Below are 23,421 nucleotides of genomic sequence, written 5' to 3'. Positions count from 1 at the left end.
CCAAGACAAATAAGACTCTGAGACTAAGCAAAAATTAAGCTCCTTATTAACTAGTATCTTCGTGTGATCTTTGCAGAAGCAACTGAAGTCACATGAACACTCTTAGCACAGCAACAAGATGTTAAATAGAAACTTAAATGAATATCAAAGTGCAGCCAGAATTATTGTCTTAGTCTGTTTTGTACTGCTCCAACAAAAATACCTGAAAGCAGATAATTTATAAATAGAAATTTATTTTCTCACAGTTCTAGAAGCTGAGAAGTCCAACATCAAGGCACAGGCAGGTGGCAGGTTTGATTGTCTGGTGAAGGCTGCCCTCTGCTTCCAAGATGGACCCTTGTTGTTGCATTTTCTGGAAAAAAGGAACACTGTGTTCTCAGATGGCTGAAAGCAGAAGGGTAAGTAAGCAGAACACCCTGTGAAGTCTCTTTTATAAGGGACTTAATCCCATTGAAAAGGAAGGAGCAATTTTGGCCTTGTCATCTCTTAAAGGTCCCACCTCTTAATACCATCACATTGCTAATTAAGTTTTATCATCTGAATTTAGAAGAGGACACATACAAACCATATCAAGCAGGTCATGGATACGAAGAGAAATAGATATTGTCAAGAAGTAAATATGAGTTAGTAAAAATAAAAAGAGAGTCTAGTTAGAGGTGTTTTACATATGTGTGTCTGTGGGTGTGTGTGTCATATATAAATTAGGGAAAATTAGATCAGTGGAGAACTATTTTTTTTTAACCAAGCACAAATTTAAATTTAGACAGTAAATGGTATAAAATTCTAAGAGATGGAAATCAGTGGGAAGTGTTCTTAGTTAATTGCTTCTATTTTTATTCAGGAAAACACAATTGTCATACCCAAACTTGTTACCCAGCACATAGAATAAGAGGTCTCTCATTTAATTTCTGGACCACACCAACTATCTGAACAGACATTTGATACTGCTCCTTGTGCTCAGACAAAAAAAAATACTTTTAAAGATTAAGTTGAACATTATTTTGGTCTTACTTTCTTCCCTGTAATTCCATGTCTCTCTCTTTTGTATTAAAGATGCTATCCAATTATATTTTCTATCTCATTAAGACTTTAGAGGGACATTCTCAAATTTCCTTACCAGAGCTATTACAAAGTAACCAGCATGACAGACTGCAAGAGAAAACGTAAGCTATAAAGAACTAGAAAATACCTAATGCTTAGTTCCACTGCCTTGTAAGTTATAACTTACATACATTTCCTAGGGCAATTGCCTTGCTCTGCTGTGGTTTCCTACCCAGGTTGCTTTCCAAATTCATGTTCAGAAGGAAGCATTGCAATTTGCAAATGGCCAAGAGGCCCCAACCCTGATTCTGTAGGATTGTCCCTTGCTGATTGAGCTTTGACTAGATGGCAAGCATTATGTTAAGTGATAGGTAAATATTTATATGCATGACAACCTTACCAGGGAGGCATAATTGGTATAATTTGCCAAGGATGTGTATTTACAGCCTTGTCTTGAAACATGGTTTGAAACTTCTCTATAATGTTGCCTGGGGCATGGTGATAGGTTTGTTCTTCTCTCCCTCATTATTTCTATGTTTTGTAAGGAAGTGCAGTATGTCTCACTGTCAGCCATTACAAGATTGGAAGCTATTGAAGGTCAGAGATGTAAACTGTGCTCTCTCTTTCATACATACTATTATATAGTAGGTGATGCACAAATATTGAGTAATTGCCACCAGCCTCCTCTTTCCTGTCATAATACTAATTGCATCCAGGACTGTTCAATTCAATTCAACAAACATGTATTGACAACTTCTCATTTTGCTGGCATGAGACCAGTTTTAACTTGAGCTTTCTGCCCCAAGGCAAATTCTAAAATATTTCCCCAAATTGAAAGTAAAACAGTATCAGATCCCTTTGCCAGTGATCAGCAGGAGCCAAGTTGGAATTAGCAGCAACAATGAGATCAGCCCTGAGAGTCAAGAAAACATTGCTGTCTCTGAATTGAGATTTTCACTCTGGCGTTACTTCAGCTCACCACTCGTCCAGGCAAACAAAATTAAGCCAAGGCATTAGATTGGCTAGAACTGCAGCTTCTGGACCGAGTCTAGTAAAAAGTCCCCATTGCACATGAGTAAGTGAATGGCGCTTATATGGTGAGATCTCTGATTATTTACTATTTTTTTTAAAACTAGGCTTATCTATTACTAATTTGTATATTCTTGGGCAGGATTTTGTCTATGAAAATAAATATTCTTAAACGATGACTGAAATCCAGTGACTGATTATTGTGATGTTATCTTTTGAAAAATCTGAAATTACTTTCAAAACCAGTTTATAAGCCACATAAAATAGGTAAAACAGACACATCTTTTGTTATCAACCATGCAAGAATATCAGTTTTCTTGCTCTGCTATAACAGTTAATTATTTTTTTTGTTTGTTTTTGTTTTGTTTTAATTTTATTATTTTATTTTATTGTTCCATAAGTTATTCGGGTAAAGGTGGTATTTGGTTACAAGAGTCAGTTCTTTAGTGGTGATTTGTGAGATTTTGGTGCACCCATCACCTGAGCAGTATGCACTGCACCATATTGTAGTCTTTTATCCCTTTCCCCCCTCCCACTCTTCTCCTCAAGTCCCCAAAGTTCATTGTATCATTCTTATGCCTTTGCATCCTCATAGTTTAATGAACATCGCCATGTTTGATTTGAATCTGACTTGACAACCCTGGCTGAGAAAGAATATCTGACTGTTAAAAAGCAATAACAAGAGCAAAAATATTCTCAAAATCCGTAGATTTGGAATGTATAATTGTATGGGTTTTTAGTGCACAGACATCTATTTATCACTTAACATTCATAAAGGTAGGTAGTGCCGCCCGTAGAGACAGGAATGATTAGAATTTATTCAGACAATATACAAACAAGAAAACCAAGAACAGAATTAAGAGAAAAAATTAGGAGAAAAGGAAAATTGAGTCAGTTTAGCGCAAGCCCATAAATACAGAAAGCCATGTTAATGATTCTTATGATCATGATAACATCTGTTAAGTCCACGAGTGGGGAGGTATCTCAGGAAAAATACTACAACTGACTGGGATTAGAAGCAGGGCATAGGAATAATTTCTCAGGGACTCAGTGAAAGATACCCTTGTGTAGGCAACAGGTTAGACATGTTTTGATACAAGGCTGGTCAGTACAAACATGTAAAAGTGGTTACAAGGCTACAGATGAACAAAAAGGTTAAGATGAAGCCGGGCCACTATACAATGCAGACTAACAAGAGTCATCCCAGACGCATGGGAGGAATTATCTGAAGGCACCCAGATCAAAACTTTTGGCCCTATTCTCTCCTTCTGTGTTTGTAAGCAGTGTGACCACACCACCCTATTTACACCACTGCTTGAAGCTGATATTCCCTTTCCATTCCCAGCCTCAAGACCTGTCATATCCAAACTGGATAACTGTAATCTCCTCTCCCTTAGGCTTCCTAGTGTGAGCAGATGCTGTGATATCTCAAATTGTTATTTGTTACAATCAGAAAAAAATATATAGTTTATGAAATATTCTTTGGTAAGAAGAAATAAATTCCATGCCTTTTTCTTTACCAGTGAAATGTTATATGAAAGCTAGGACCATTAATTAGTCTAACTTGAGAAGATCTCTGCTATCTAAAACCTCATCTCTCAAGATCTGAAATAACCTTAATTATGGACAGGATAGAAGTAAACATAGCCTATGCATAAGTGTTCACAGGAATGCTGGATCCGAGAGGAAATGAAAAGTAGTCACATTCGACATTTATTAAGATTCTACTATTTGCATTGAAAAACATCAAGATGAATGATATATCATTCCTGCCATCAAAAAAATTCACTGTAATTGAAAAAAAAAATTTAAGTCCAAAGTGACAAATGGCTTCAGCTAACGGATAATGAAAGTTTTATTAGCAAGTATATGAAAAAAAAAAAAACAGTGGACTTAGACTTGCACAGTTTTCAGAAAAAAAGCAGTTTCAAAATAAGGAAATAGCAGCAAAATATCAGATTACTATATGCACTTATTTTTGAAGAAATATTTCTTAATTACCTTGTATATGTTTTACCATGGCAAGTAATGGTCTGGGGCTAGCTATGAGATAGGGCTGAGATATTTGGAGAAGATGAGAGGGTTAATAGACAGTAACCCAGAAAAGGAATTTAACAAATTAGGAAAAAATAATTTTTAAACAGGTGTTACATGGTCAAATACTTTTAAGAAATGCAACATACATTATTCCTGTATTCTGTTGAAAATGTAATGCATATAACCATTTAAAATTCTAGAGAAATCTTGAATAAACCAAATAGGTGTCTTGGTTCCAATGTATTATTTGAACATAAAACAGAGCTGCTATTTTTTTCTTTTTCTATTTATAACCTATGAAACTAATTTATGCAGAATACGTATTTGATGCAGAATACTCCTGTAGCTGTTACAAGCAGAAACTCTCCTTCAGTCAGCACAGCATCCACATCCCAGGCTCACTGCTGATTAACAGTTTGAATGGGGAAAGTTTCAAAGGCTTCAGCTTTTGTTCCATTGCCTTCCAAGGGTAATAGTAGCATCTACCTCAGAGGGCTTATGAGAATGAAACGAGATCAAGAGAAAGGGTGCCGAGCTCAGTTCCTATTAAAGTGAACACTGGTCATTATATTAATAACACATGAAGCACTAACTGTTATGTTAATGAAAAAGCATGTGAAAGTTTTGTAGAAGACTGGCACTCTAGAAATTACTCAGTCTTTTATATTTGTATGGAACGATAGTGAGGAAGCCTGAACAATGGGCTAGAAAACAATGAGAAAGAAAGGTCTGGGCTTTAGTCTCTTTTCTTCAATCTCCTAGAACTCTTTGCCACTCCCATCCTCTCATGTACACATTGCCTCCTATATTTTATCATACACTAATATAAATTATGCCCTTAGAGCTTCTTTATTGATTCCTTTCCTCAACAACTCAAATTTTAAACAAATTCCTACCATGTGCCAGCCATTGCATTCACAATACTGAGGACAAAAGCAACAAGGAATTAAAACATTTTAAATCCTCCCAACCCCATAAAGTCTTACCATACCAGGAAATAATGGAGTGAGCCCTCGTGCTACATCCAGGATTCTCTGAATTGAGACAGCTCTTGCTATCATCAGACTTGAATCTTGGGAAAGCTATTTAGTCAATGTGAGCCATAGATTCCTCATAGAGAATATAAAGCTATCTACATATATGTTTCAAATTCATAACACATGAAAATTTCCCTCTGCTTCTCTTACTATGAAAATACCAAAGTTGATTTTTTCTTAAAAACTAGTGCTCTGATTACTGACCAGCAATACTACATCTAAAAACTCTATACTTAGAATATAAAATTAATTCTTTAAGTCAAAATTTTTAAAAAGCGTATATTTGGTTCTGTATGGTGATGGTACTATTTGTGGACTCCAAGGGTTGCATTGTATTTTGCAGCCTTTATTAAGCTTCTGAAATGCAGTGTAAATGATTCATTTTTCTTTGAATTTCATAGCATCTGAACTAACACCGTACACTTTTGGAAATCTTTGATAAATAAATGAGAAGATTTAGTAAAATAGAGTTGATCAAGAAGGGTTTTTCAAATTGAAAAGATTTTTTGCAGTTCTTTTTATCTGTTTATCCTGCCATAAACTTTCTATCTTGTAATAAAAGTCGAAATGCTGTAATAACTTAAAGAATATTCAAAGTTATAATTCAAATTTTATCTTGGAACAAGGTAGTATACAAAAAATAGAAATGTTATTATTTTTAGAATACATTTTTTAAAGTCTAGCTTTATGCTATCTTATTTAAAAAATAATCATGTTTCTGTCATTGCCCATTGTAACACTTACAATTTTACTTTTAGTTGTGAATTAAAATAACTTCTTTCCAGTAGAAAAATAATTTATTCCTTTAATTCTTACATGAATAAAATTCATTAATTATTTGATTAAAGACATTTGAAGGTGATGAAAAAATTAAGAACAACAATAATCATAGCTCTCAGATGCTGGCATCGCACTGTGGTTATTCAATATACATGAGCCCTGGGAATTATCAATGTTTGTATTAAGAAAGAGCCATCAGAAAACATTGCATTTCTGAATTCCTCTTCCAAAATAACGTCATTTTTCTATATCATAAAATGAAGATGTGTTATAATAACAAAACTATCTCAAAGTAATGCTTTATACTTGCTCAGTAGGTATTTGACTTTTAGTTATAATCAATATCACCTGAAAGAAGGGAGCAATTTAAAGAACCAAACCAAACTTCTTATTTACAGATTAGGCCCAAAGGGATTGCCCATCTTCTGATACCTAGTAGGCTTGACACTGAAATCCCTGTCTTGGTTGCAGCCTTCACTGCCTATATGCTATGTTCTGCTGCATCTTGTGATTTATAGCCCTTTGCATTTAAACTTTCTACCTGTAGATATATTATTTCAGATCATACAGTTTCCCATGCTTCAGGTTTTCATTTACATGGCTATTAAGAAATAACATATTTCTCATTTAGCATTCCCCATTGGTAGAACTCATAATACTTCCCATTTAAATACAAACTCTGTAATAGCCAAAATATTTATTACAGAAAAGCCACTTTCTATTCCACTCAGATATTATATTCATACATGGTGGGTTTTCTCCTTAGGCAAAAAGAGTTAACAATTCTGATAGAGAGAATGCAATTTAAAGACCATTTAAAGTGATTTAGCTTTTTTTAATGTTCAGTTTAAATATCAAAGGGGAAAAATTCATTCCCCAAAACTAGTATTTTAATTAGAGCAAATTGAGAATTTTGTTCCAGCTATTAGGAGAGAAGTTCCTGTAAATTGGCAATAATGTTTAAAAACTTTCCTTTTACAAAATAAGTATGTCGTTCAATAATAGCCCAGAAAATGGGCTGAATTCACTAAAATAGCATCCTCCTGTGTCTCTTTGCATCTCCTTATCTCTCTCTTCCTTTCCTGTCTCGGTCATTGTGTCTCGCTCTCAATCTGTGTCTTTTTCAGGGCTATTTCATCAACTACTGTGAGCTGATCATGTACAAAGGTGTGCATAAAGTAAATGATGTTCTTTGGTTCTGCAAAGAAATGCAGTCTGTCTGTGACTTTGAGCAGTGTGCTATAGACTGGCAGCTTGTCATCTGGAAAAACTGACACTTGGCTCCCCTGGGCCCACTGAACAGCACTGCTGCAAGATAGCATTAGTAGCTGACAAAAATGGAAATGGGAGGCACAAGCTACTTGACACAAATAAAATGGCACAGTCAGTTTACTTGTAAAGTACAGGGGAAAAATAACAGGAACTAATGGCATTTCAAAGAAGTTTTACAAGGCTGGGCGCAGTGTCTCACGCCTGTAATCCTAGCACTTTGGGAGGCCGAGGGGGGGCAGATTGCCTGAGCTCAGGAGTTCGAGACCAGCCTGGGCAACATGGTGAAACCCCACCTCTACTAAAAATACAAAAAATTAACCGGGCATGGTGGCATGTGGCTGTAATCCCAGCTACTCGGAGGCTGAGGCAGGAGAATCACTTGACCCCGGGCGGCGATGGTTGCAGTGAGCTGAGATCACGCCAGCCTAGGTGACAGAGCAAGACTCTTGTCTTAAAAAAAAAAGAGTTTTATTCAACATCTTTCCTCAAAGAGACACTTTGAGAAATTCAAGCGAGTGAAACTTTTTAAGTTTTGACTTGCTTTAAGGAACAAACTGAGTTTACTAATGAGTAATCTAAACTGATCGGTGTATCAGTGTAGGTACAGTACATTGTAGCTCGATATCACATCAAGAACTGTGGGTAATTCATTTTTTCATGTCTACCCTGAAACATAATAAGCACTTAAACTTTGATTAATTGATTGATTTTCTTTACACACTTTTTTTATCTTTTGTACTTCTAAGCAAGTGTAATTTTTAATGATTTGCTTTTCGCCAAAGATACAACATGAAAATATTTCTTTTAAAATATTTTCAAAATAATAATTTGCCTGTATTTAGAAAATGTAATGAATCCACTATTTTCTTAAACCAAAAAAATTATTTGATAATCAAATTAAAAGTTCTATCAAATACCACAAAGTAAACATTGCAAAGCTTTTTGCCTAATTAGTGTCATTCAAAATTAGCTTATTTCCTGGATTTTATAAAACATTCTCATGAGTAACTGTTGTTTATATTATTAAATTTAATCAAACCAGCAAATCTTTTGATTAAATTAAATGCTCACTTCAAGTAGACAAAAATAGTATATGAAATACGATATAATATAAAAATGTAGAGTCCGGAGTTTACTTCCGGGCCCCGATATTAGGTACATTTGTTGTTTTATAATGCTTCAAAGTTTACAAGTCATTTAATAATATCAGGTGTTTACTGACTATATGTGGTTTTCTAAATGCTTGTAATTCATTAAGTTAATTTTCCCCATGATCTTATGAAAGTATCAATAGTATTATAATTAACTTATAGAAAAAATAAAATAAAAGGTTAAAGTAATGCTCCTAAATTACTTCAAGTATAGGCAGAAACAGAAGTCCAAGCCAGGTACTTTGACTCCAAGTCTTAATTCTTTCTATTAGCTCTATCTTCCTGCTGCGCTCTTCTCTTTTTGCATATAATTTTTTCACTTGAGGCTCACAACATTATTGTTGTTATCATTCACATTTTCTAGCTGAGGACGCAGGAACAGACATGATGAATTTTTTTCCCAATTACTCTGTAATCACTAGTAAGTGGGAATAAGTTGAGAGGCTCAAATCCAAGCTTGGCACTATGTGTTCCCCAGCTTTCCGTTTTCCTGGGAGGGACAAGGACAGGAAATAGTTGTATTGTGCTTTAGAAAAGCCACTTTGGCATTGACAGTGAGAAGGAAATAGAGACACAAATTCACTGAGAATGTAGAATCAGCTGTATTTGTCAATGGATTGAATGTGTTTCATGAGCAAAAAAATTTAAAGATTATTTGCCACAACTGTTAAACTGAGACATGAGTATAAAAGAAATTTTTAAACAATCAAAAGAACAATTTTTTGGTAGAACCTAATGGAAGCCCATCATTGGTGAGATGGGAAGACATTATATAATTACTATAAAATAAATGTTGATGACATTCCTGGCAAAGGCAACTACTTTGTTGACTTACTTGAGGTGTTGTTACGTGTCTCTTCTAGAGCTTCATAACTTGACTTTCTAAAAAGTCAATATTACTTATTGAAATGAACATTGATAAGGAAATGACAGCCTTGGATTTGCATTTTAGTTCCACTGCTAATTAGTTTTGTGATCTTTGTCAAATTCCTTTGGCCCATTTGGGTCCTCATTTTCTTATCTATCTATGTAACGAGGAAAGTACAGCAGGTGACATGTTAGACATTAAATTTGTTGGCATTTTTACAATGAAAGCACTGGAAATTGTTTTGAATTTTGTTTTGTTCTGTTTTGTAATATTTAAAATTAAAATATAAATATAAGTGGTCTTATGTTTTTTTAAAGACTCATAGAATCTGTGTTTCTGTAAAGCTACCAGGACCCTTAGATGTAACAAAATAAGTAGTCATTCTCAAAGTATAATTGTAAGCGTGCAAAAAATTTCTATGCTTCCAAATATAACCTCAAAGTCTTGGTCACTGGACAAAATGCCCATATTTGAGTCATTCATTTTAGTAGAGATTGTGTTAACAAAGAAATTCTCAGGTTAGGAAAGAGGAAAGTAAGCTCCAAATAAATAGAGTTGCAAGTTAAAAATAGGACACTAAAGTGAGTGGCAATAGCCTAAGGCATAAGAAGATGGGTATTACAGAAGAAATGCGTAAAAATCGAAATAGCACAATAAAAACACAAATGCAGGTGCTACACAAAATCTTCCCGGAGATGGCCCTGAATGTATTTAAATCCAGCAAGAATGGAGTTCACTATGGACAAGGGCAGCATCCACTGTGGCCATAGCCTTGCTCTATTTGTTGCCTGTACAGTCATCAACTCCTTTTCTGTCTTCACAGCACTTAACGTCTCTTTAGGTTAAGAGTAATAATATTTGAAGAAAAAATGTTTAATCACGCTATGGACAATCTCTCTGTACCCTCAAAATTCATGTATTAAAGCCCTAATCCCAAATTGGGTGCTTTTTGGAGGTGGCCTGTTTGGGAGGTAATCAGGTTTAGATGAGGTCATGAGAGTGAACCCCCTGTGATGGGAATAGTGTACTAATAAGGAGATGAAGGGAACGGATCTCTCTTCTCCTCCATGTGAAGATAAGTGAGAAGATGGCCCACTGTGAACTAGGAGGAGGGCCCCCACCAAGAACCCAGCCATACTGGCACCTAATCTTGGACTTCCAGACTTGAGAACTTTGAGAAATACAGCTATTGTTTAAGCCACTCAACCCATAGTATTCTGTGACAGCAGCCAGAAATGACTAAGTTAGATGAGGAATTCATTTTTACTCTATTTCAATACTTAATATTTAGATCACATGTTTAATACATTCCCTACTTTCTGCAACTCTGAAGCAAGATTGAAAATCACCATGTATTTTAAGAGGTTTAGAGATAATTCCACAGCCCTCTTGATAATCTCTCACAGTAAGGTGTTACAACAGAGATAGAAGAGGTTTTGGATTTACACAGACTTGGATTTCATTCCTGACTTCATCAATTAGTAACTGTGCAATGCTGGAAACTATACTAAGCTGTCTAAGACCTAGTTCTCTTGTCTAGTGGTCATTTACATAGAGTCCTGGTGAAGAATAATCTGAGAAACATAAAATCATTCAAGCAATGTCTTCTCCATCCAAGTTTTTACTAATGCTATTAAATTTTACAACAAATCTATGAGAAATATGAATCCTATTTACACATCCTTTACCTTTTTTCCCCAATTAGCATAAAAAATAAAAATCAAATAATCCTCTCGTTTCTCTGAAAAAAATATTTCCAAAGAAGCCCTACTTATCTCCCACATTTTTAACAACTATTGATTTCTTGGGGTTCACATATATATATGTGAGTATGTATAAAATGAAGTGAATGCCTGCTGCGTATCTTACCTTGTACTTCCTGGTTATTATTTTTATAAGTGAAGAAGAAAAAAAATCAATTTAAGAGCCACAAATGCTAATCTAAAATATCCAAATCTTCAAGAAGTACATGCCACAAGATGATGTTTTTCACTCCAAATCTAATCATAAGTTTCCAATCTAGTATGCACTTTAATAATGTTGTTAGGTAAAGCTTTGAGGATGATTTCTAGCAGAAGAATGTCTAATTCGTTTAAGTTTACTTTGGAATTCACTTTTACTTATGTTATTCTTTCAGTTTCATCTTTAAAATCATTTATAATGGTAACTTCATACCGAAAAATGAGAGCACTTATTGTTCCAAATAACATTACACACTTTATATTAAATAATGACATAAATAATAGGTCATTTAGAAACACAAGGAATTTTAGTGACTTTTCCTGGCTGGAGATTTGCTCCATTCTTCAAGCTCTGTAAGAGTTATATGTAATATTTTATAAATTATTTCCATATGTAATTTGTATTATTTTGATGTTCTACATCCATACAATCTAGTGGAACTATTACTGCTATGAAAAACTTAATTGATAAAGTGTAATACCTCTTCACCTTTAATTTGGTGGTCGGTAGCCTTAACGGCATGTGAAAGTCACCTAGGAAACTTTTAAAATACAAAGGCTCAGGCCACACCTCATATCAACTACATCAGAATCTCTGGAGGTAGGATCTATTTTTAAATCTCCTATAATAATTCCCATTATATAGCCAAGATTGAGAACCATTAGCTAATTTGACTCCACTCTGCTTACTTCATCTTCCCAACACTACTTTAATTAGGCAATTACTCCCTGCCTTAATCAAAAAGAAAGAAGCAAAGATGCAATGAGCCACTCAACAGATAGTAGAGGCCCTAGTGCTTAGAAAAGTAAGATCCAGTCCTTGGAAAGGTTAGATCTTTGCCAAAATCAGCTGTAGATTTATAGTGACTGAATAAGCTGCTTAAATATATAGGATTATGGATATATTGGATTTTTAAAAACATTTTGTAACGCACTAAAAGTAACTATTAATGAAAATTTTCACAACTGATGTTATATATTTATTGATATATAATGTATACATGTGTGAATATATGGATATATATTGTGTGTATATATATCCATATATATACACATATATATCCATATATTTACATATATATACACACATATATCCATATATATACACACACACACACATACACACACACACACACACACACACACACACACACACATATATATAGGATCTCTTTTTTTTCCTAGAAAAGTTTTGCTCTGTCACCGAGGCTGGGGTAACTGGGACCCATCCACCAAGTAGATGGGACCACAGGTGTGTGCCTCCATGTTTAGATAATTTTTTTGGTTTTTTGATAGAGATGGGGGTCTCCCTATGTTGTCCAGGCTGGTCTCTAACTCCTGAGCTCAAGCAATCCTCCCAACTTGGCCTCCCAAAGTGCTGGAATTACAGGTGTGAGCCACCACACCTGGCCATAAGTATATATTTCTAACATGGAGTTTACATAATAAATCAGTAAGTATATTTTTATGTGCTTGATTTTAAGACACCAGAATATTTGAAAACAGCCTCTAAGTGCTGAATACCTTGTGGCAATAACTTTGAAATATAATCTCCTCACCTCAGGTTAACTCAGTATAGTACAATTTTTCTTTTTTTTTTGAGACGGAGTATCTCTCTGTCACTAGGCTGGAGTGCAGTGGCACAATCTCGGCTCCACTGCAACCTACGACTCCCGGGTTCAAGCGATTCTCCTGCCTCAGCCTCCCGAGTAGCTGGGATTACAGGCATGTGCCACCGTGCCCAGCTAATTTTTGTATTTTTAGTAGAGATGGGGTTTCACCATGTTGGTCAGGATGGCCTTGATCTCCTGACCTCGTGATCTGCCCACCTCGGCCTCCCAAAATGCTGGGAATACAGAGATGAGCCACTGCGCCCGGCCAGTATAGTAGAATTTTTAAAGAAAAGGACCAAAGTTTGAGAGGAGAACCTTAACAAAGACGGAGTACAGCAAAAGATAAATTTGAAATATGTAAGGAAAACACAGATATAACACTAGATATACTTCCTTGTGTATTTTATCATTTTACCTCTGTCCTGAGATCACCATTTCAGGAGAGCTGCTACTCACTTCCAGAAAAAGTAAGCAAGTAGTAAGGTAAGTATTAGCTAGTAGTAAACATCTGTCAGAACTTGGACACAGTAAAAAGGCTAAGGCCAGAAATTCCTCAGTTTTTAGCTTCATGGGCCGCTGCTAGGACTAGAGCATAAGAAAACGTGGTTTTGTGGGGTAGTGCTTTTTTGTCATTATGTAAGGGCTGGATCTCACGTGAGACCTTAAAGTTCCTCCTGTCTCATTTGGATTCTAGCTTAAGGGGCTTTCCCCAGTACTTTTCTCCTTGAGTTGTGCCATTGTTCATTTCTGGCCTTCCATGGGCAGTGGCCATCACTCTCCAACACATCATTTCCCCCCGCTGGCTGTAACACAAGCTACAAAGAGACAGTTTGATCAGAGGTCATGTGGAAGTGATTAAAAAGACATTTACTTATGCTCCTATCTCTCTAACAGCTTCCCCTAGTACAGTAGCATAAATGCTCATGCCTAGAATAGAAATCATACACTTGAATATAATCAGATTCCCTTTACCTTGGGGATAGAATGAGCTTGAACTTGCCCAGAGTTTTGAATGTGCTACTAATAGTATCTACTTTAGCTGTAAGTTGATTTACTTTAATAACACATGTGGGCAGTGAGGGAAGAAAGAAAGGAAAATAACCCAAATTAGTAAGATATGCCTTCATTTGATGCAAACAACAAAAACAGAAAACATTCGAGAAAGGTAAATTATCTCTTTCCCACTTGAGCAATTAATTATGAAAGGTTGTTCTTGTAACATAGATGACAGTTTCAATCTATTTCAACCCAACAAATATAAGTTGAAAAATACAGTGTGTTCGATATTAACTTGAATAATATTGATATGAATAGTAATAGGTATTAATATGCATATTATTAATATGAACATGATACTAATTAAAAAAATAAGCCTGCCCTTGAGGAGCTTTCAGTATTGTGATGCACGAATAATTGTATCTCTTGGTGAAGTGGGATATTGAAGACATTTTAAAGGGAACACAATTTAAGAAAAGGGACTATTAAGTGAACCAACTGTAAGCATCAGTAGATTGAAACATCCTGCCGTGGCTAACCTCTTAAATTCTCAAAGGAATGCTGAAGATGTAGAATCCAGGTAGACTTGTTTTCACAAATACCAAACTCATTTAACGTGCATAGAGAAAGCTTTCTTCATAAAAGTTGAATGTGCTTTATAAATTAAGTGGCAGACAATCTACAAGATTGCAGTGAGAAAGCCTGAGTTCTTTCTGTAATCAAATCATTTTCTACCAAAGTAAGAAAAGTTTGTCTTTTCTTACTTATTGAAGGATGACTCAAGGCCAAATACTACCTTCCTTATTGACAAATCACTAGGTATTTAGTCTGGAATAGGGTCACTGAATGTGGAAGTTACTTTAGTTTCTAGACAATTTAATTGAAGAGAAGAGCCTATCTTTCCAGTAATGTTTTCTTGTCAACCACTCAGTAGCAGCACTTGAAATTTGATTCCATTTTGGAGGTGGAGTTAAGAATTATTTTTAAGGATTAGAATTTTGAATTAACTTATGACCTACAAAAATGTGCTTTAATTTTGGTATAAAGGAAAGAAGGAAGGAAGGAAAGTATGTTAATTAAAAACAAATTTTAAAAAAAAGCGTAGATTGTAGGAAGAGTTCTGCCTCTACCAGCCAATTCTTGGATAGGTCTCTGGTCATATGTTGAGATTACCTGACATGATATTTTGTTAAGTACAAAAAAGATTGGAAGGTAGTTAATATTGATGGAACAGATTCTAGTTCCAAAGTAAAAGTCATCCTAACTAAAGAGAAGGTGGGCAAGGCAGGGGCCCGATAGCAACAGCTGAAAATTGTTCTTACATTAACTTTGTAAGAACAAGGTAGGAAAGAATGACACAAAATATTGTATGACATTAACAAAAACCACATTGATTTCTCATCTCATAACCTTATTCCCCTATGCAATACATTTATCCCAAATATTAATTAGGAGATTCACAGCATGTGAATATAAATGTAATGAGGTAGACTGGGGGCTCTGTGACAGAAATGGAGTGGAAATGGCTCTGTTACATCAAAGGAAGAGGGAGAAAATAGGCATATGGGGCCCTAAAAGATATCCTGATTTTCAGGAGCCTCTACTGCAACCCACCTACTTCAACAATTGCCAGAAGATGTGGCAAATATTGCTTGCTTGATAAGCCTTAAAATATATCCCTGAATAGCCAGCGTGGTTATAACTCCGAGTCAAGAGGGTCCTAATACTAACAGCTCAAGCTACACAGCTCAAACAATATAAGCCACTTAACATTTGCAACACCACATTTTAAGCAATGAGAAAGCATTGTCATGTTGCTCAATAGAGGGCAATTATTTGCAATGATGTGAAATCCTGAATCTTTTGCTTCCATTCAAGACCAGAGGTATAACAAAGAAGAAAAGCCCATTGTTTCAGGGAACGATTGTCTCAATGCACAGGTGATTCTAAAGAGCCTAACCTGTAGTAACTGCCCCATGAAAGCCTTTTTCCAACTGCTGCAAACTGCGAGGAGAAACGGGACCAAGTTTTGTTTGCTATTTCTAAAAATGTCTCACAGCTCTGAGAGCTCTCTTGTCCTGATATCATTCCTTCATTTAATCAGCAGCCTCAGTGGACATACATGGTGCCATTTCAGCTCATGTCTTTCCCATTTGATATCTGACGGGTCTGAACTTCTCCATAATCTCAAAGAGCCAATAGCAGGACCTGTCACCCAGGCAGCGAAACTATGAGTATTTTAGTGACTATCACAGAGAACCATTATTTGTCCAGTGACAGAGACTCATGATGAATGTTTCTGAAATGACATTTGAGATGACAGGGGGTGAAAATCCCCAAGTCAGAGACTGTAGTTCTTGGGGTCTCCAGAGCAGCATCATTGTCAGTTAAACTGGGTATGTGCAAAGATGTTGCCACATGGACAGCCCACAGATCAATTTATTATCACAGGCCGTGAAACTCACTTGTGGCGAAATCAATATGAAACTTCAGGCTCCCTGATAAAGAATCAGAGATAATTTTATTTACCCTTTAACTTTGCAAATGTTACCTTTAAGTCCAATGAGGAAAAGCATATGTCAGACTTTTCTATGAAGTTATACAACAAAAATAGTGTCCAAGTCATAGTTAAGAAGTAATCTATTTTCAGTGCTAACGAGCTCAACATTTTAACCTGATGCTTTGATAGAGAAATAAAGGTAGGTTTTAATGATGAACAAAATAATCCTGATAGATTAAATGTCATGTAGCTCAAAAATGGAAGAGATCTGAAAAGTAGCATTCATGTAAAAATAAAGATATTATGCTGTTATTTTACACTCATGATATTCAAGTATTTTAATCACTGCAAAATAATTATAAAGTTTAAGAAAAGCACATTGCAGGAAGTGCTCATTTCTGAGAGTAGCCTGTCATCATAATAGCTTGATTAAACAATAGCAAAAAGTAACAATAACTATTTAAAAGTCAATGTTTGTTTTGCCAAGCACTATGCTTAGGGATTCTTCTGTGTGTGAGTGTGTGTCCATGTGTGTATAAATCTTTACAATAACCATTTAGATAGACACTTTTAATATCATCATTTCACAAAGGAAGTAATTGAAGTACAACAGACTAATGGCACAAGGATGCAAAGCTAGTAAGTATTGAGCCAAAAGAGGAACTCAGGCAACCTAACTCCAGAGCAGGTGCTCATAGGCATTATGGAATACTCAAGACATTCAGAAAGACCATTTTTCTTCCTCAGGCAACTATAAGAATTTTGTATCAGAGCTTAAATATTTTGGGGGGGCATTACCTGTAAAAATAGTCAGTTCTTCTTCTAATGGCATCTGATATCACTTTCAAAAATGCTACTGTAGCCAAAATCATACTATGCGTTAGCTTTATAAGGGCCTTGAAATTGCTGAACTGGTAATAAAATTGAGAGTGTTCTCTAAGGCAAAACGTTTGTATCTAGGACAAACACTATTATCAACTTAGCTAATTCCAGAAATATTCCAAACAATTCTCAGCCAAACCTTGGTATTTTGTATTTCTCCAAGTTAATTCCAGTGGAAATTAGCAAAAAAGGGAAGGAAAAGAAATAAAAACATCAATTTGCTTTAACAGCCTTTGTAATCTCTCTCTCTCTCTCACACACACACACACACAAACACACACACAAAGTGAATCTAAATTCAGGGTTGATTTGGCAATGCTACTCAAGTTTCATTGCTCAAATTAATCTATATTGATTTACTATTACATTACTGCCCCTTTCACTTTGAAGCTTATGATGTAATTGCACTTATTTACTAAATTAAAAGCAGTTTTCACAGAGGTGATGTTTAGAAAACAGATGGATTCATACCATACAAAAAGCACTTCCATGTATTCTGGCATTCCCTACAGAATGAATGAAGAACTGACCATAAAATGCATATTATTCTATGTAAAAACAAATCAACACACCTCCCATGAGGCATCAGCCTGGATTTGTGATCAGAGGATTTCCACAGAGCAAATCATCCCTGCCATCTTGACATGAGTATTAGGGGCATTTGAAGAGAAGTATATCAGTTTTCTTACTATGCATATTTCTTTATCCAAATGTCTGGCTTTCTGCTTAATACTACTGCTCCCAATTTTATAAGAAATTCAGACATTGGATATTTTTCTACTACAAAAATGTGATGCTTTAAACACAGCTGGCTAGTAACATATGGAGATGAAAGAACACTAAGCTATAATCAAATTTATATCTCCTGTTTATTAACATAAGGTTATAGCTGAGTGGAATTTAAAATCCTAAAATCAAGAACATATTTACTCTGAACAAGGTAACGGAATAGAAAATTTATAAACTTGCTTCTGTTGGTATTCTCAATTTTCTTTAAAAGCAAAATTCAGCCACAGGTTTGTTTTGCTTTATTTCTTTTCCTTCTTTTTTAGGTAACTGGGCGAAGTACATATATGGAATACATTCACTGGGGTATGGCTTCTTTCATAAACGACAGTGTTCTGAAAAATATAACATTATCTCTCTTATGAAAAATTCCCAAATTTTTATTGGAAGCCTGGATCAAATGTGTGTGTGTGTGTGTGTGTGTGTGTATGTGTGTACACAGATACTTATACAGATATTTCTATTTATAGCACACATTTTATATCTTTATCTATTGTTGAGTAATTGTGAAAAATAAAGGGTTTCATTACCTATCCTTAAAAAATGTAAGCTGATAAACACTGATTTTCATTTGCTTTCTTTTCTCCTAGAACCTCAGGCCAAGTGTTCTTGACAGCTCATCCACAGACTCCCACTGGTAAAGCAGCATGAGGATGGCTTCTGTTATTTTATTTCAGAATTTTTTCCTGCAGTGGCATGCCAGTACCAGCTGAGGATCATGTATGCAATATTTGCCTTCTTTCATCTTCTACCTAGGATGGCTTTAATTCTCTTCGAGGAGAATTTATTTTAGTTTTTCCCAGTAAGAGAATCCACTTCTCTTGCCCATATTCATAAATTATCATTAAAAATTAAACTTGGTACAATAAATATTAACATGGTTCCAGCTTCTCCATTGTTATGCTCAGAATTCAGTTCATTGGCAGGATCTAGGCATAGGATCAGTCCAAAGTTGGGCCAAGGCACAAGGAAGGTTTGCACAAGTTTAGAGCATCATTGAGAATCCATATGGCATCAAATTCTGACCATCAGAACCAATCATTTTAGTCAAATTGCTGAGACACAAATTAAGTCCAGGAATCGGTAGATAATATATTTCCTCATATATAGGAACTAGACATAAAAATTCATATAAATTTCTTCAACATATTTTATATACAGAATAAGGTAAGCAACTGTATATATGAAATTAGATTGGGATTTTTGTTAATTGCAAGCATAGTTGGATTCAAGAGTATGTATGATGTATCCAACCAAATCAAAAGGAAACTAAAGCCATTATTCATTCATTTATGCAATATGTGCAATTATTTGTTTCATACAACAAATATTGTTGAATATTTACTATATATAGAAATGTTGCCTTGTACAAGGTGGTAAATATGACAGACATTCTTTTTAGCAAGGAAGACAAATAGGTTATTACAATGGCAGGTTGTAAGTTTTAGGAAGCACATGGGTCATGAAAACTCTAGAATGTCTATACCAGAGAATATTACATAATGCTTAAGATTTCCTAATTACCTTAGGAAAGAAGGGGAAAAGAATGGTATATGAAGTAGAAACAGTCGTTTAAAAACCCAGAAGCAAGAGGGAGCTTGGCAAATCAAAAAACTAAAAAAAGTCAAACACGGCTGGAATAGAGAATGTGGAGATGAAAATAGGAAGATATCAGTGGGAAGAAGGGATAAGTAGAGTAAGACCTGGAAAGAACTCATAAGCAGAACTGAAAATTTTTAACTTTATCTGAGGAGTCCAGGAAACTTGTTAAACTGTTTAAGCACAGACATGAAACACACAAACAAAAAACACTAAATGTACACCAGCACCGAAATAGGGTTCAAATTTATACAAGGGCATGGAAACTAAAATTCTAAAATGATGATTATTTTTTAAACAGCTCTCAAGTCAGTGAAAGCCCTGGATTATTTACAGGAAAGTAAAAACTCAAAGCAAATTTACTCTATAATTAAAAAAAAATAACTAAAAATTAGGCCAAAATGTAAAAAAACCTTAAAAGCACACAATGAGTGTATCTAAATGAGTGAGAAGCAACAAGCATAATAACCTGTAGGCTACGGTATAACAGCAGTTTTGAAAAAGACTATAAAATACGTATATTTAAAGTTATTGAAGAGACGAAAGATCAGAAACCATAAAGACATCTTGTTAAAAGGAGAAAAAAAAAGCAAGCGTAGAAAAGAATCATAAAACATTAACTTGTAGAAGTGAAAAAAATACCTTTTCAGTTAAACATTCAATGGATGAAAGCTAGAGCTGAAAAAAGTACCCATAATGCAGCACAAAGAAAGGATGATGAAAAATATGAAAGATCAGTTAAGACATAGAAATTGGAATGAGAAGTTAACACATGGGTTAAATATGTGGCCCAGGAAGAATAAAAAGAAATAAATAGAAATAATTATTATTTAATGAGAAAATTGCTGAGAATCTCCCAGAAATGTTGAAAGTCCTAAATATTAAAAAACCGTGAGTTCCAATAGAATCAATAAATATCAAGTAAGACCTACACCTATTGCAGTGAAATTATAAATAGTTTAGAAAAGAAGAAAATATGAAGAGCAACAAAATAAAAATTACCTCAAAAGAAGAATGCCTGAATTGAGAGGAATTTCCCCTAAAGCAACAAGTGAGGTCAATGGAATGCTATCTTCAGTGTGCTTCAATTGTAAAAGTAGAATATAATACCATATAAATTACCATAAAAACCGAAGGCAAAGTATATTTTCAGACCAAAGAAAAGAGCCTATGCACTTACTACTCATATAAACTTATTTAACAACTAACCATAAATTTCTGAAAAAAAGGAAATTAAACCCAGAATGTCAAGGTATTGCACTAAAAGCAAAGGTGAGGCAATTATGAAAACCATGGATCAGTAAAATTTGCAACTAACTGAGGACATTAAATTCATGCATCTAAAGTTTCTGAAAAAAATATCACAGAGGAATATAATCAGAGTTAAAATGTTCTCAAGTCTGTGTATTCTTTGTAACAGCGGGAGAAATGCTTGGTATATTTTAGGTTTAATTCAATTATGTAGGTTCAAGAATTATACTAATTGTGGGGTAGAAATAGACAGTATAACCTTCTAGTTAGCAGAAAAGGAAAAATTTTAAAAATTGATAAATTCAATTTTTTATGTGACGAGCAAAGAAAGGTCATCATATACAGAAGATAGAGCATAAGAAGAAAGAATTAATTTCAAATAAATTTGGAACTCCAAATTCCAAATACGTTAGTAATCATGACAAAGTTAAGTGAGTTAAATTGGCCACTAAAAAGGCATAAATTCCCAGACTGGATTTTAAAAAATCCACTAGGTTATATATAAATGTCACATTTAAACATAATGACACAAAAATTGAAAGCAAAGGGATGGAAAAGTATATCAGACATATACTGGCCTCCCCCCAACAATACAAAACAAAATAAAAATTTAGACAGAAATAGTAATGAAAACAAAACAGATCTTTATTAAAAGCAAACAAAAGAGCAAAGAAAAAACATATTTAGTGTAACCAAACAAACCAAGAACTAAGAAAATAATATTTCTGAACCTCAAGGCCTGAAAAACATAGGCCACCAAATAGCAATAAAGGTGAACACGGAAATGTGCATGGCAGTCCCACTTCTGAGAACATACCATACAGGAATCACTACTCAGGCATACAAGAAGACACATACAAAGTTGTTAATGATAACAATGCTTACATGGGATTGAAAACAGTCTAATTCCACACAAATGTGAAAATGGATAAATAAGTGATAAATATTTGTAAATTGGAAACCAAATTTGAGAGGGAGAATGAATAACACACTAAATCTGAATGTCAATATGAGTAAATTTGAATAACAATGTTGAAGAAAAGTATATTCATTTTGATATTTCTATGACTTCAAAACACATAGAGCACTGTAAATTGTTTAAGGATGCAGACATAGATGGAGAAGGGAAGGGAAGAATATACAACAGCTTCAGAATGGCTATTATGCCTGAAGAGAGGAAACTATATTGAAGACGACTGACAAACCACAGAATTCTCAGCTGAGCATTTTCATTACATCTCACATTTGGACAGACAGCATTAAGACGTTTTATAAGCCTTCATGCTCAGAAAATCTTACCTTATCAGAGAACTAAAGTTAAAACAAACACTAAATTTCTTTAATCTTTGCCTTTCCTGAAACTAATCCCAAAATAGCCAATGAGTAAGACTCTAGCAGTAGTCAATGAAATGCCTCAGGACTTATAATATTACATCAGCTTTCTCACAGTATCAAACTGATAACAAATTTTATCTATCAGTGACAATCCCACTTGCTTTAAGGGGACATAAACATTGAAATCTTTAGAAGTGCATTTATTGCAAATCTAATCTAAAGTAGTTCATTTAAAGCACATTTAAAGAATAGTGAATGTGTTTTCATTTAATGTTTGGTTTCAGCATCCTGGCAAAAGATGAGAAAAGAAAGAGGAAAAAAGCCTTGATCTCTAGTTCTCAGGCAACCAGCTTGTTCCAAAAGGTCTTTGTTGTTAAATCATTTTCAGCTCAACACAGCCCACAGATTCTAATTAACAAGAATCCCTTGACAAATGGGGATAAAATTGGCCTGCTCTATGCTTAGAGGTGTAGAGTTATTTGCACTGTATCTTCAAACAAAGTTTACAGGCCAATGGTTTGGTAGAATTCATAGCATGCTTTCAAAGTTTTAGTATTGCAAAATTTGTGTCAACTGCTGATTTTTTTTAAAAAATGTGGTAGTACAGTTCTTTCTAGCTTTGCTCTGCAAAAGCCTCACCTGGGAAGGGTCGCAAAGCGGCACATGAACAACCAAGGCTTGCTGATTTAATTAATACTAATGTGGAGCTTTAGGGGAAAAGGTTCACAATGGATGGATTTTTCTGCTGACTCTAACTTCGTAGTTTTGATTGATTTTTTTTTAATCTAGGAGGCTTTTGAACCAACTAGAAGTCCTTCATAATTTGGCAGACCATGGAAGGAGAGCCTCTAATCAAATTTTCCATTTACACCTTTGCCCAGTACCTACAGGTGTGGAGGTAGGGGAGAGGGGAGGGGGAGGCACACAAGTGTTCTTCTGGAAAGGCATCCAAACAAAGTGTTGTCAGAATTGCAAGCTGCTGCAAGTGAATAGAGAGCATCATCAAGTTGGTATTATAGAAGCTTATCTTTTGACATTTATATTATGTCAATTTCATTCTTTATCAGACTAACATATTGGTCTGTTGAGAATTATTTCATTCTATCTGACTGTTATGCCCATGAGGCATAAATTTTGTTTAGGTTATTGTTATATCTCCTGGCATTCAACATTTGCGGGGTTAAATGGAAAAGAAAGAGAAGGAATAGTAAATAGTGAAAGAGGAAAAAGGAAGGAATAATGACAGAGAAGAAAAGGGAAGGAAGGAGTTGTAAATAAAGACA

At 34.8% G+C, this 23,421-nt stretch overlaps 1 long non-coding RNA gene across 1 annotated transcript; it reads left to right on the top strand.

Annotated features, from left to right (window-relative positions):
• The first annotated feature begins 248 nt into the window (after window positions 1–248).
• LOC124904343 (uncharacterized) lies at window positions 249–18,834 on the top strand. Its single transcript, XR_007066443.1, has 2 exons — window positions 249–398; window positions 18,544–18,834. It is a non-coding gene; the product is annotated as an uncharacterized LOC124904343 (long non-coding RNA).
• Window positions 18,835–23,421: the final 4,587 nt, after the last annotated feature.

This window comes from Homo sapiens, chromosome 18, assembly GCF_000001405.40.
Source record: "Homo sapiens chromosome 18, GRCh38.p14 Primary Assembly".
Lineage (NCBI taxonomy): Eukaryota > Metazoa > Chordata > Mammalia > Primates > Hominidae > Homo > Homo sapiens.
This window is presented reverse-complemented; position numbering and strand designations above follow the sequence as displayed.